This window comes from Homo sapiens, chromosome 11 (genome assembly GCF_000001405.40).
Source record: "Homo sapiens chromosome 11, GRCh38.p14 Primary Assembly".
Lineage (NCBI taxonomy): Eukaryota > Metazoa > Chordata > Mammalia > Primates > Hominidae > Homo > Homo sapiens.
The window spans coordinates 56,586,546-56,599,358 of NC_000011.10; the positions used below are offsets into that span (position 1 = coordinate 56,586,546).

Genomic DNA, 12,813 nt, shown 5'->3' on the forward strand with positions numbered 1-12,813 from the left:
TTTCTTTCATCACTATGTGCCTTCAATTGTAATTATTCTTTCTCAATTTAGAAACATGTATTGATGACTTGCTATGAAAACAAGGAGATAGATATAATGTTTCTGTTTTTTAATTTATTATTATTACTATTATTATACTTTAAGTTTTAGGGTACATGTGTACAATGTGCAGGTTAGTTACATATGTATACATGTGCCTTGCTGGTGCGCTGCACCCACTAACTCGTCATCTAGCATTAGGTATATCTCCCAATGCAATCCCTCCCCCCTCCCCCCACCCCACAACCGTCCCCAGAGTGTGATGTTCCCCTTCCTGTGTCCATGTGTTCTCATTGTTCAATTCCCATCTATGAGTGAGGATATGCAGTGTTTGGTTTTTTGTTCTTGCGATAGTTTACTGAGAATGATGATTTCCAATTTCATCCATATCCCTACAAAGGACATGAACTCATCATTTTTTATGGCTGCATAGTATTCCATGGTGTATATGTGCCACATTTTCTTAATCCAGTCTATCATTGTTGGACATTTCCGTTGGTTCCAAGTCTTTGCTATTGTGAATAATGCCGCAATAAACATACGTGTGCATGTGTCTTTATAGCAGCATGATTTATAGTCCTTTGGGTATATACCCAGTAATGGGATGGCTGGGTCAAATGGTTTTTCTAGTTCTAGATCCCTGAGGAATCGCCACACTGACTTCCACAATGGTTGAACTAGTTTACAGTCCCACCAACAGTGTAAAAGTGTTCCTATTTCTCCACATCCTCTCCAGCACCTGTAGTTTCCTGACTTTTTAATGATTGCCATTCTAGCTGGTGTGAGATGGTATCTCATTGTGCTTTTGATTTGCATTTCTCAGATGGCCAGTGATGATGAGCATTTTTTCATGTGTCTTTTGGCTGCATAAATGTCTTCTTTTGAGAAGTGTCTGTTCATGTCCTTCACCCACTTTTTGACAGGGTTGTTTGTTTTTTTCTTGTAAATTTGTTTGAGTTCATTGTAGATTCTGGATATTAACCCTTTGTCAGATGAGTAGGTTGTGAAAATTTTCTCCCATTTTGTAGGTTGCCTGTTCACTCTGATGGTAGTTTCTTTTGCTGTGCAGAAGCTCTTTAGTTTAATTAGATCCCATTTGTCAATTTTGGCTTTTGTTGCCATTGCTTTTGGTGTTTTAGACATAAAGTCCTTGCCCATGCCTATGTCCTGAATGGTAATGCCTAGGTTTTCTTCTAGGGTTTTTATGGTTTTAGGTCTAACATTTAAGTCTTTAATCCATCTTGAATTGATTTTTGTATAAGGTGTAAGGAAGGGATCCAGTTTCAGCTTTCTACATATGGCTAGCCAGTTTTCCCTGCACCATTTATTAAATAGGGAATCCTTTCCCCATTGCTTGTTTTCCTCAGGTTTGTCAAAGATCAGATAGTTGTAGATATGCGGCGTTATTTCTAAGGGCTCTGTTCTGTTCCATTCATCTATATCTCTGTTTTGCTACCAGTACCATGCTGTTTTGGTTACTGTAGCCTTGTAGTATAGTTTGAAGTCAGGTAGTGTGATGCCTCCAGCTTTGTTCTTTTGGCTTAGGATTGACTTGGCGATGCGGGCTCTTTTTCGGTTCCATATGAACTTTAAAGTAGTTTTTTCCAATTCTGTGAAGAAAGCCCTTGGTAGCTTGATGGGGATGGCATTGAATCTGTAAATTACCTTGGGCAGTATGGACATTTTCAAGATATTAATTCTTCCTACCCATGAGCATGGAATGTTCTTCCATTTGTTTGTATCCTCTTTTATTTCCTTGAGCAGTGGTTTGTAGTTCTCCTTGAAGAGGTCCTTCACATCCCTTGTAAGTTGGATTCCTAGGTATTTTATTCTCTTTGAAGCAACTGTGAATGGGATTTCACTCATGATTTGGCTCTCTGTTTGTCTGTTGTTGGTGTATAAGAATGCTTGTGATTTTTGCACATTGATTTTGTATTCTGAGACTTTGCTGAAGTTGCTTATCAGCTTAAGGAGATTTGGGGCTGAGATGATGGGGTTTTCTAGATATACAATCATGTCATCTGCAAACAGGGACAATTTGACTTCCTCTTTTCCTAATTGAATACCCTTTATTTCCTTCTCCTGCCTAATTGCCCTGGCCAGAACTTCCAACACTATATTGAATAGGAGTGGTGAGAGAGGGCATCCCTGCCTTGTGCCAGTTTTCAAAGGGAATGCTTCCAGTTTTTGCCCATTCAGTATGATATTGGCTGTGGGTTTGTCATAGATAGCTCTTATTATTTTGAAATACGTCCCATCAATACCTAATTTATTGAGAGTTTTTAGCATGAAGTGTTGTTGAATTTTGTCAAAGGCCTTTTCTGCATCTATTGAGATAATCATGTGGTTTTTGTCTTTGGTTCTGTTTATATGCTGGATTACATTTATTGATTTGCATATATTGAACCAGCCTTGCATCCCAGGGATAAAGTCCACTTGATCATGGTGGATAAGCTTTTTGATGTGCTGCTGGATTCGGTTTGCCAGTATTTTACTGAGGATTTTTGCATCAATGTTCATCAAGGATATTGGTCTAAAATTCTCTTTTTTGGTTGTGTCTCTGCCAGGCTTTGGTATCGGGATGATGCTGGCCTCATAAAATGAATTAGGGAGGATTCCCTCTTTTTCTATTGATTGGAATAGTTTCAGAAGGAATGGTACCAGTTCCTCCTTGTACCTCTGGTAGAATTCGGCTGTGAATCCATCTGGTCCTGAACTCTTTTTCGTTGGTAAGCTATTGATTATTGCCACAATTTCAGATCCTGTTATTGGTCTATTCAGAGATTCAACTTCTTCCTGGTTTAGTTTGGGAGAGTGTATGTGTTGAGGAATTTATCCATTTCTTCTAGATTTTCTAGTCTATTTGCATAGAGGTGTTTGTAGTATCCTCTGATGGTAGTTTGTATTTCTGTGGGATCGGTGGTGATATCCCCTTTATCATTTTTTATTGCCTCTATTTGATTCTTCTCTCTTTTTTTCTTTATTAGTCTTGCTAGCGGTTTATCAATTTTGTTGATCCTTTCAAAAAACCAGCTCCTGGATTCATTAATTTTTTGAAGGGTTTTTTGTGTCTCCATTTCCTTCAGTTCTGCTCTGATTTCAGTTATTTCTTGCCTTCTGCTAGCTTTTGAATGTGTTTGCTCTTGCTTTTCTAGTTCTTTTAATTGTGATGTTAGGGTGTCAATTTTGGATCTTTCCTGCTTTCTCTTGTGGGCATTCAGTGCTATAAATTTCCCTCTACACACTGCTTTGAATGTGTCCCAGAGATTCTGGTATGTTGTGTCTTTGTTCTCGTTGGTTTCAAAGAACATCTTTATTTCTGCCTTCATTTCGTTATGTACCCAGTAGTCATTCAGGAGTAGGTTGTTCAGTTTCCATGTAGTTGAGTGGTTTTGAGTGAGATTCTTAATCCTGAGTTCTAGTTTGATTGCACTGTGGTCTGAGAGATAGTTTGTTATAATTTCTGTTCTTTTACATTTGCTGAGAAGAGCTTTACTTCCAAGTATGTGGTCAATTTTGGAGCAGGTGTGGTGTGGTGCTGAAAAAAATGTATATTCTGTTGATTTGGGGTGGAGAGTTCTGTAGATGTCTATTAGGTATGCTTGGTGCAGAGCTGAGTTCAATTCCTGGGTATCCTTGTTGACTTTCTGTCTCGTTGATCTGTCTAATGTTGACAGTGGGGTGTTAAAGTCTCCCATTATTAATGTGTGGGAGTCTAAGTCTCTTTGTAGGTCACTCAGGACTTGCTTTATGAATCTGGGTGCTCCTGTATTGGGTGCATATGTATTTAGGATAGTTAGCTCTTCTTGTTGAATTGATCCCTTTACCATTATGTAATGGCCTTCTTTGTCTCTTTTGATCTTTGTTGTTTTAAAGTCTGTTTTATCAGAGACTAGGATTGCAACCCCTTCCTTTTTTTGTTTTCCATTTGCTTGGTAGATCTTCCTCCATCCTTTTATTTTGAGCCTATGTGTGTCTCTGCACGTGAGATGGGTTTCCTGAATACAGTACACTGATGGGTCTTGACTCTTTATCCAATTTGCCAGTCTGTGTCTTTTAATTGGAGCATTTAGTCCATTTGTGTTTAAAGTTAATATTGTTATGTGTGAATTTCATCCTGTAATTATGATGTTAACTGGTTATTTTGCTCGTTAGTTGATGCAGTTTCTTCCTAGTCTTGATGGTCTTTACATTTTGGCATGATTTTGCAGCGGCTGGTACCGGTTGTTCCTTTCCATGTTTAGTGCTTCCTTCAGGAGCTCTTTTAGGGTAGGCCTGGTGGTTACAAAATCTCTCAGCATTTGGTTGTCTGTAAAGTATTTTATTTCTCCTTCACTTATGAAGCTTAGTTTGGCTGGATATGAAATTCTGGGTTGAAAATTCTTTTCTTTAATAATGTTGAATATTGGCCCCCACTCTCTTCTAGCTTGTAGAGTTTCTGCTGAGAGATCCGCTGTTAGTCTGATGGGCTTCCCTTTGAAGGTAACCCGACCTTTCTCTCTGGCTGCCCTTAACATTTTTTCCTTCATTTCATCTTTGGTGTATCTGACAATTATGTGTCTTGGAGTTGCTCTTCTCGAGGAGTATCTTTGTGGTGTGCTCTGTATTTCCTGAATCTGGATGTTGGCCTGCCTTGCTAGATTGGGGAAGTTCTCTTGGATAATATCCTGCAGAGTGTTTTCCAACTTGGTTCCATTCTCCCTGTCACTTTCAGGTACACCAATCAGACATAGATTTGGTCTTTTCACATAGTCCCATATTTCTTGGAGGCTTTGCTCATTTCTTTTTATTCTTTTTTCTCTAAACTTCCCTTCTTGCTTCATTTCATTCAATTCATCTTCCATTGCTGATACCCTTTCTTCCAGTTGATCGCATCGGCTCCTGAGGCTTCTTCATTCTTCACGTAGTTCTCGAGCCTTGGTTTTCAGCTCCATCAGCTCCTTTAAGCACTTCTCTCTATTTGTTATTCTAGTTATACATTCTTCTAAATTTTTTTCAAAGTTTTCAACTTCTTTGCCTTTGGTTTGAATGACCTCCCGTAGCTTGGAGTAATTTGATCATCTGAAGCCTTCTTCTCTCATCTCGTCAAAGTCGTTCTCCATCCAGCTTTGTTCCGTTGCTGGTGAGGAACTGCTTTCCTTTGGAGGAGGAGAGGTGCTCTGCTTTTTAGAGTTTCCAGTTTTTCTGCTCTGTTTTTTCCCTATCTTTGTGGTTTTATCTGCTTTTGGTCTTTGATGATGGTGATGTACAGATGGGTTTTCGGTGTGGATGTCCTTTCTGTTTGTTAGTTTTCCTTCTAACAGACAGGACCCTTAGCTGCAGGTCTGTTGGAGTACCCGGCCGTGTGAGGTGTCAGTCTGCCCAAGCTGGGGGGTGCCTCCCAGTTATGCTGCTCGGGGGTCAGGGGTCAGGGACCCACTTGAGGAGGAAGTCTGCCCTTTCTCAGATCTCCAGCTGCGTGCTGGGAGAACCACTGCTCTCTTCAAAGCTGTCAGGGACATTTAAGTCCGCAGAGGTTACTGCTGTCTTTTGTTTGTCTCTGTCCTGCCCCCAGAGGTGGAGCCTACAGAGGCAGGCAGGCCTCCTTGAGCTGTGGTGGGCTCCACCCAGTTCGAGCTTCCTGGCTGCTTTGTTTACCTAAGCATGCCTGGGCAATGGTGGGCACCCCTCCCCCAGCCTCGCTGCCGCCTTGCAGTTTGATCTCAGACTGCTGTGCTAGCAATCAGTGAGACTCCGTGGGCATAGGACTCTCTGAGCCAGGTGCGGGATATAATCTCCTGGTGTGCCATTTTTTAAGCCCGTCGGAAAAGCACAGTATTGGGGTGGGAGTGACCCGATTTTCCAGGTGCCATCTGTCACCCCTTTCTTTGACTAGGAAAGGGAACTCCCTGACCCCTTGTGCTTCCAGAGTGAGGCAATGCCTCACCCTGCTTCGGCTCGCGCAGGGTGCGCGCACCCACTGACCTGGGCCCACTGTCTGCCACTCCCTAGTGAGATGAACCCGGTACCTCAGATGGAAATGCAGAAATCACCCATCTTCTGCGTCGCTCACGCTGGGAGCTGTAGACTGGAGCTGTTCCTATTCGGCCATCTTCAGTACTTAACCGATACAATAGGTTTCATTTCTCACAGAACTCTCAGAATATATTAGGAAACATGGCATTGTATTATTATGAATTTTCTGTGTGACTAACAGACAAATAGAGTTGCAATATCTACACAATCACAGGAATGGGTATGTGCAACTGTTTGCTCATGAAAGGACAAGGGAGTTGATATTTGGGCTGTGCCTTGAAATATGAAGTTCTCTCCAGAATAAGGACAGCAATAAGGATAAAACTATTGGTTAAGAAAAAAAATGCCTTTTTAATATGCAATGTCTGAACAACAGAATAAAGGAGAATAAAATTAAAAGATTGGAGTTGAATTTCTCATAAAAAAGCATAAACTGTAGCTGAAATCAGAATTATTCTGTTGGCATTCTTATTATATTATATTTTATTATTTTATTTATTTATTTATTTATTTTTGAGTTGGAGTCTGGCTCTGTCACCAAGGCTAGAGTACAGTGGCACGATCTTGGCTCATGGCAACCTCTGCCCCCCGGGTTCAAGCGATTCTCCTGCCTCAGCCTCCCAAGTAGCTGGAATTACAGGCACCCACCACTGCACCTGGCTAATTTTTGTATTTTTAGTAGAGACGGGGTTTCGCCATCTTGGCCAGGCTGGTCTCGAACTCCTGACCTTGTGATTCACCTGCCTCGGCCTCCCAAAGTGCTGGGATTACAGGCATGAACTACTGCACCTGGCCTATTTTATTATTTTTTTAAGACAGGATCTTACTCTGTTACCCAGGCTGGAGTGCACTGGCATGATCTCAGCTCACTGCAACCTTTGCCTCCCAGGCTGAAGCCATCCTCCCACATCAGCCTCCTGAGTAGCTTGGACTACAGACACTTGCCACCAGACCTAACTAATTTTTGTGGTTTTTTTAGAGACAGGGTTTCCTCATGTTGCCCAGGTTAGTCTCGAACTCCTGAACTCAAGTGATCTGTGGGCCTTGGCCTCCCAAAAGGCTGGGATTACAGGCCTAAGCCACTTTGCCCAGCCTGTTGGCTCTTTTAAATGTTAATTTTCTATTTGGGTAATAACCAGTATTTCAATGGCAAAGCAATATACTAGGATCACACTTCATATAATTTATCCAATCCCAATCTGTGGGAAACATTTTATGCTCACATATAAGCATTCACTATGTGGAAAAAAAAAAATCCAATCCTACTGGGAAAATATCTATTATGAAAATACTTGTCAAATGAGCTGAAATTCCCAACTTGTCCCAATCAAATTGCAGCTACCAGAAAAATAGATACCTATGGCTATTTGCTGAGGCATTCAAGAAATAACGTTCATCTGTTCATCTCACCCTAGGTTTTTTGGGGTTTGTTTTGTTTTATTGAGACAGGGTCATCCAGGCTGGAGTCATCCAGGCTCTGTCATCCATCCTCTGTCATCCAGACTGGAGTGTCGTGGTGACAACATGGTTCACTGAAGCCTCTACCTCCCAGGCTCAAGTGATCCTCCTGCCTCAGCTTCCCATGTAGCTGGGACCACAAGGGCATCCCACCACAACTGGCTAATTTTTTTTTATTTTTTTGTAAAGACAGAGTCTCTATCTTGTGTAGTTTGGCCTAAAACTCCTGGGCTCAAGCAATCCTCCTGCCTCAGCCTCCCAAAGTACTGGGATTACATGTGTGAGCCACACTGCCTGGCATTATTACCCTAGGTTTTTAAGGTTAAATGGCATATAACACCAAAAGATTTGTATGTAGCATTTGGTACATAAGGAACTATTATAAATGTATGAAATAAAGACAAATCACCCTACCTGAAAAGTTAACAAAGTATATGGACATATAAGTGAAAGAGAAATATGAGATTAGCATCAATATACTTAAAAATACTTAGTTTCACTTGTAATAACAATTCAACCTTAAACACCAAATGAGAATTCATTGTTTACCCATCAGATTAGAAAACATTTAAAGTCTGACAACACCTAGTTTTGGCAAGAATAAAGTGATGTAAAGGTAACACTCACAAACTGTTGATAGAAATATAAATCAGTAAAACAATTGGCAATATATAGTAAATTTAAAGATACTTATATCTTATGACCAAGAAATTACCAACCTACCTGAGAGGAACTCCTTACGTGGTACACATTCATAATTACACACAAAACATTTATTAATGGATTTTCATATTATCAAGAAACTGGAAAATGTAACTCTTCACCAACAGTAGAAATAAAATACAATTTGGGAGGCTGAGGCGGGAGGATCACAAGGTCAGGTGATCAAGACCATCCTGGCTAACATGGTGAAATCCCGTCTCTATTAAAAATACAAAATTAGCCTGGCATGGTGGTGGGCACCTGTAATCCCAGCTACTAGGAGGCTAGACAGGAGAATCGCTTGACCCTGGGGGGCGGAGTTTGCGGTGAGCCGAGATCGTGCCATTGCACCCCAGCCTGGGCAACAAGAGTGAGACTCTGTCTCAAAAAAAAAAAAAATCGTAGAATAAATACACATATTGAGGCATATTTATATATTGGCATAGACTATACCACTAAAAATTGCTGCTGCATGATTCACCACAGATACATCCAACAATATTTAGTGCAAGATAAATAAATTGCAGAAAGATACATAGAGTGGATGCATTTATTTCAAGTTCTAAATGTAGCAAATCAGTACTACATATTTCTATGAATATATAAACACCTATCCAATGATGTAACTCTACAGAAGGATAAGAAACATTAAATTTGTAATAGAGTTTACAGCAAGAAATGGGACAAGAGACAGAATCAGTCAGGAGAGATGTATCTTTGTAAGTTTTAAATTTCTGAAATAACTGAAACAAATGGGGCATTCTGTGAAGATTTAATAGTGATTAGTTGTGCTTACAAAGGAGTCTTTATATTATTTTCTATTTTAGATGTATATTAAAAATAGTTCATAAGAAAAAATTAACAAGCGAAACCATGAAAATAATTTAATAATATATGTAAAAATCCACATGATCATAGGTGGCATAAACTTAACTTCCTAAAAGTAAAAAAAGACACAATAAAGTGAAATAAAAAAAATTGAGAAAATTTAAAATGATAAAATATTAACTTTGGAAAAGATACAATAGAAGAGATAAAATGGAATTCATGTGTATATATATACAATTGCTACACCTGTATATATAACAAAAACATGTTTATATCATTGAGAAATATCTGAAATAAATAAGAAAACATATAAACACCACAATTTAAAAACAGGTGAAGCAGCTGGGCGCGGTGGCTCATGCCTGTAATCCCAGCACTTTGGGAGGCCGAGGCGGGCGGATCACGAGGTCAGGAGATCAAGACCATCCTGGCTAACACGGTGAAACCCCGTCTCTACTAAAAATACAAAAAATTAGCCGGGCGTGGTGGCGGGCGCCTGTAGTCCCAGCTACTCGGGAGGCTGAGGCAGGAGAATGGCGTGAACCCGGGAGGCGGAGCTTTCAGTGAGCCGAGATCGCGCCACTGTACTCCAGCCTGAGCAACAGAGCAATACTCTGTCAAAAAAAAAAAAAAAAAAAAGGCATACGACCTTGATTCTCACCAAAAAAATTTGAATAAGCAATTAAAAAAAAGAAAATGTTATATTGTAATCAAAATACACACACACACCTACATACACACATAAAACACACAAATATCCACATGCATTCGTGGATAAAACATTCAATTCAATTTATTTATTCAAAGGAAACAGGCAATGGTAATAAAAGAGTGAAGAATTGAGTTCACATGTTGATGGGAATCCTTACTGGTACAACATACAAACAATTAAAAACTCTTTCTAAAGGAAATTTGGCATTTCCATGAAAAGCCTTATGAAATAGGGTTTCATTGGATCTATGATATCATTCTAAGGATATAACTTAAAGTAATAATCCAAAGTACACCTAAAGGATCTTCATTTCTATATAATATGTATAAAAGAAAAACAGAAACCTCATCTACTATGGTTGGCAAGTTTCTGGAAAATAGCTTGGAGGCTTATTAAGTATTATAAAATGTAATTAGCAAATGTAGTCACTCATTGCCATTTATCCAACTTTTCAAACAGACTCACGAAGATAAGCATAGAAGATTACAACTAAACAAGTGTGCTAAATGTGCTGCCTCATGTGAGATTCTGAATACATAGAAGTTAGGTAGATATCCTCCATTCATTCAAAGGGACAAACAAAAACATTTAAAAAAATGTAATGAGCTGTCATTTTCTCAGCAATTGATAATTCTGTCTTTTATGATATTTTAGTATGATATATAGTACTATGATATATAGTACTATGATATATAGTACTATGATATATAGTACTATGATACAGTACTATGATATATTAGTACTATGATACAGTACTATGATATATTAGTACTATGATACAGTACTATGATATAGTATTATGATATATTAGTACTATGATATAGTACTATGATATATTAGTACTATGAGTACTAATAATGGAATCATCTGTACTTCATTACTTTTTACAGAGCTAGAACAATGTCTTCTAGTCTTATATTTGAATTTCTATGCTTTCATTTTCAATTTACTGAGGTGGCAGTGTAAGCTCTAGCTAATAATTTGACATACACTTTTAAGTCCCATATGCAAATTACAAAGGACAAAAAACACTCAATGACAGATTGATTTGTTAATTTTAAATGTTCATTAATTGGTCAGATAATAAGAACAGATTCCAACACCTATGACCAAAATATCTACCTTACTTAGCAAACAGTTTCTTTTGAATAACTTTCCTTATACTTCTTTTAACGTCTTTATTCCTCAGGCTGTAGATCAATGGGTTTAACATCGGACTCACAAAGATATAAAAAACAGCTACAATTTTCCCCTGTTGTATAGATGTCTCAGAAGGGGGCCTCAGGTACATGCAGAACAGTGTCCCATAGAAGACAGTGACAGCGGTCACATGAGACCCGCAGGTGGAGAAGGCCTTGCGCCTCCCCTCAGCAGTGTGGATACGCAGAATGGCAGTGAAGATGAAAGTGTAGGAAATGAGGATGACGGTGAGAGAGCAAATGAGGTTGGAACCAGCCACCACCAACATGGCGGTCTCTTTGACATAAGTATCTGAGCAGGCGAGGACTAAGAGGGGTGGGTCCGCACAGTAAAAGTGGTTGATGTCATTGGGTCCACAGAAGGACAGACGAAGCATCAGGGTGGTCTGTGCTTAGACCATTTGCAAAGCCATAAATATAGGGAGCAGCAGCGAGACAGAGGCAGACACACCTGGTCATTTTGCTTCCATATAACAAGGGCTTGCAGATGGCCATGTAGCGGTCATAAGCCATCACTGTGAGCATATAATAATCTGTAATCACCAGTGCAATGAAAAAGTGAAATTGGATAAAGCAGCCGATGAAGGAAATGGTTTTTCTCTTGGATAAAAAGTTAACCAGCATCTGAGGAGTAACATTGGTGGTATAACAGAGATCTACAAAGGAGAGGTGACTGAGGAAGAAGTACATTGGAGTGTGTAGTGTCGAGTCACTTCTGATTAACAAGATCATGCTCACATTGCCGATTACTGTGATAAGGTAGATGACTAGAAATACCACAAAAAGAAGGGACTGCAGCTCAGCCCGATCTGTCAGTCCCAGGAGAACAAACTCAGTCACGGCTGTATGGTTTTTCTTTAACATTGTGTTTGCTTGGCTTCAAATGACATCTAAATAAAAGGAAATTAAAATGCATTTAGGTTTGTCATTTATGCATTACCCCAGTGGTGTCATCTGCTATTTCTTCCTCTTCTCTCAAAATGTAAATACATGTGACATTAAGAAATAGCCTAGTGAGCATGTGATTGATGCTTTAAACATCTAAACTAATATAGAGTTTTTTAATATACAAAGGCAATAATATTTAAAATGGTTTTCTGTGGTTCTTTTCTGCAAGTCTTTTGATAGTTAAAGAGCCTTATCTTTTATCTTTTTGCAAGTCTTTGTTATATGTGTTCACTTAGACTTTTCTTGAACCCATGGTTGTAAACATTGCTTTTCTTTGAAACTGTAATTCTTTGTTTAACAACACACCTTTGAATGTGGGATCTAAAGTATCAGCCTTTGAAACCCTCCAGGTTTATCACAACTGAACGTGCTTAGGAAAGTGGGACTGATGCCTGGTATACATCCCTGTAGAACAAGAATCGCTTTGCCTGCCCCTGTGAACTGGAGATCATTTTCCAGATCTTCCCTCACCCTCTAATGTGTGCCCATTTTCTTCACTTTATTCTACCTCAGCTGGCCCTCTTATCAACAAATCTTTTTTAACTTTAAAGACCAAGCTACATTTCTTCATTTTGTATATTTTTGTCCAAGGGGGCAAAAATTGGTTCTTGGGGAATGAAAGTAGATATTACATATTTGTATTTATAATACATATGCACATAATACATAAACCATATACATTTGCATGGTATATAGATACACAAGTGCACCTGTATTGATGGTATTAAATGTTGATAGGGATATAAAGAAAACAATAGTGTATCAAAGGGCTCCTGGGGAGGGGGGCAATAAGGATAAAATGATGAAGAAACTTATCCTCAAACTAAAATGCTGTTGTTTTAACTCTACCTCATTCTAACACTTGAAAAACTAAGAAAAAACATTGGAACACAAGTTCAATATGAATTTGTT

At 39.0% G+C, this 12,813-nt stretch overlaps 1 pseudogene, besides 2 other annotated features; it reads right to left on the reverse strand.

Annotated features, from left to right (window-relative positions):
- Positions 5,250-5,751: an enhancer, noted in NCBI's record as "H3K4me1 hESC enhancer chr11:56359271-56359772 (GRCh37/hg19 assembly coordinates)". NCBI's record gives its function as "activates a minimal SCP1, AML or CMV promoter by ChIP-STARR-seq in primed H9 embryonic stem cells {active_cell/tissue: H9 hESC(primed)}" and the evidence as "EXISTENCE:reporter gene assay evidence [ECO:0000049][PMID:30033119]".
- Positions 5,752-6,251: an enhancer, noted in NCBI's record as "H3K4me1 hESC enhancer chr11:56359773-56360272 (GRCh37/hg19 assembly coordinates)". NCBI's record gives its function as "activates a minimal SCP1, AML or CMV promoter by ChIP-STARR-seq in primed H9 embryonic stem cells {active_cell/tissue: H9 hESC(primed)}" and the evidence as "EXISTENCE:reporter gene assay evidence [ECO:0000049][PMID:30033119]".
- OR5M13P (olfactory receptor family 5 subfamily M member 13 pseudogene) lies at positions 10,962-11,449 on the reverse strand (annotated as a pseudogene).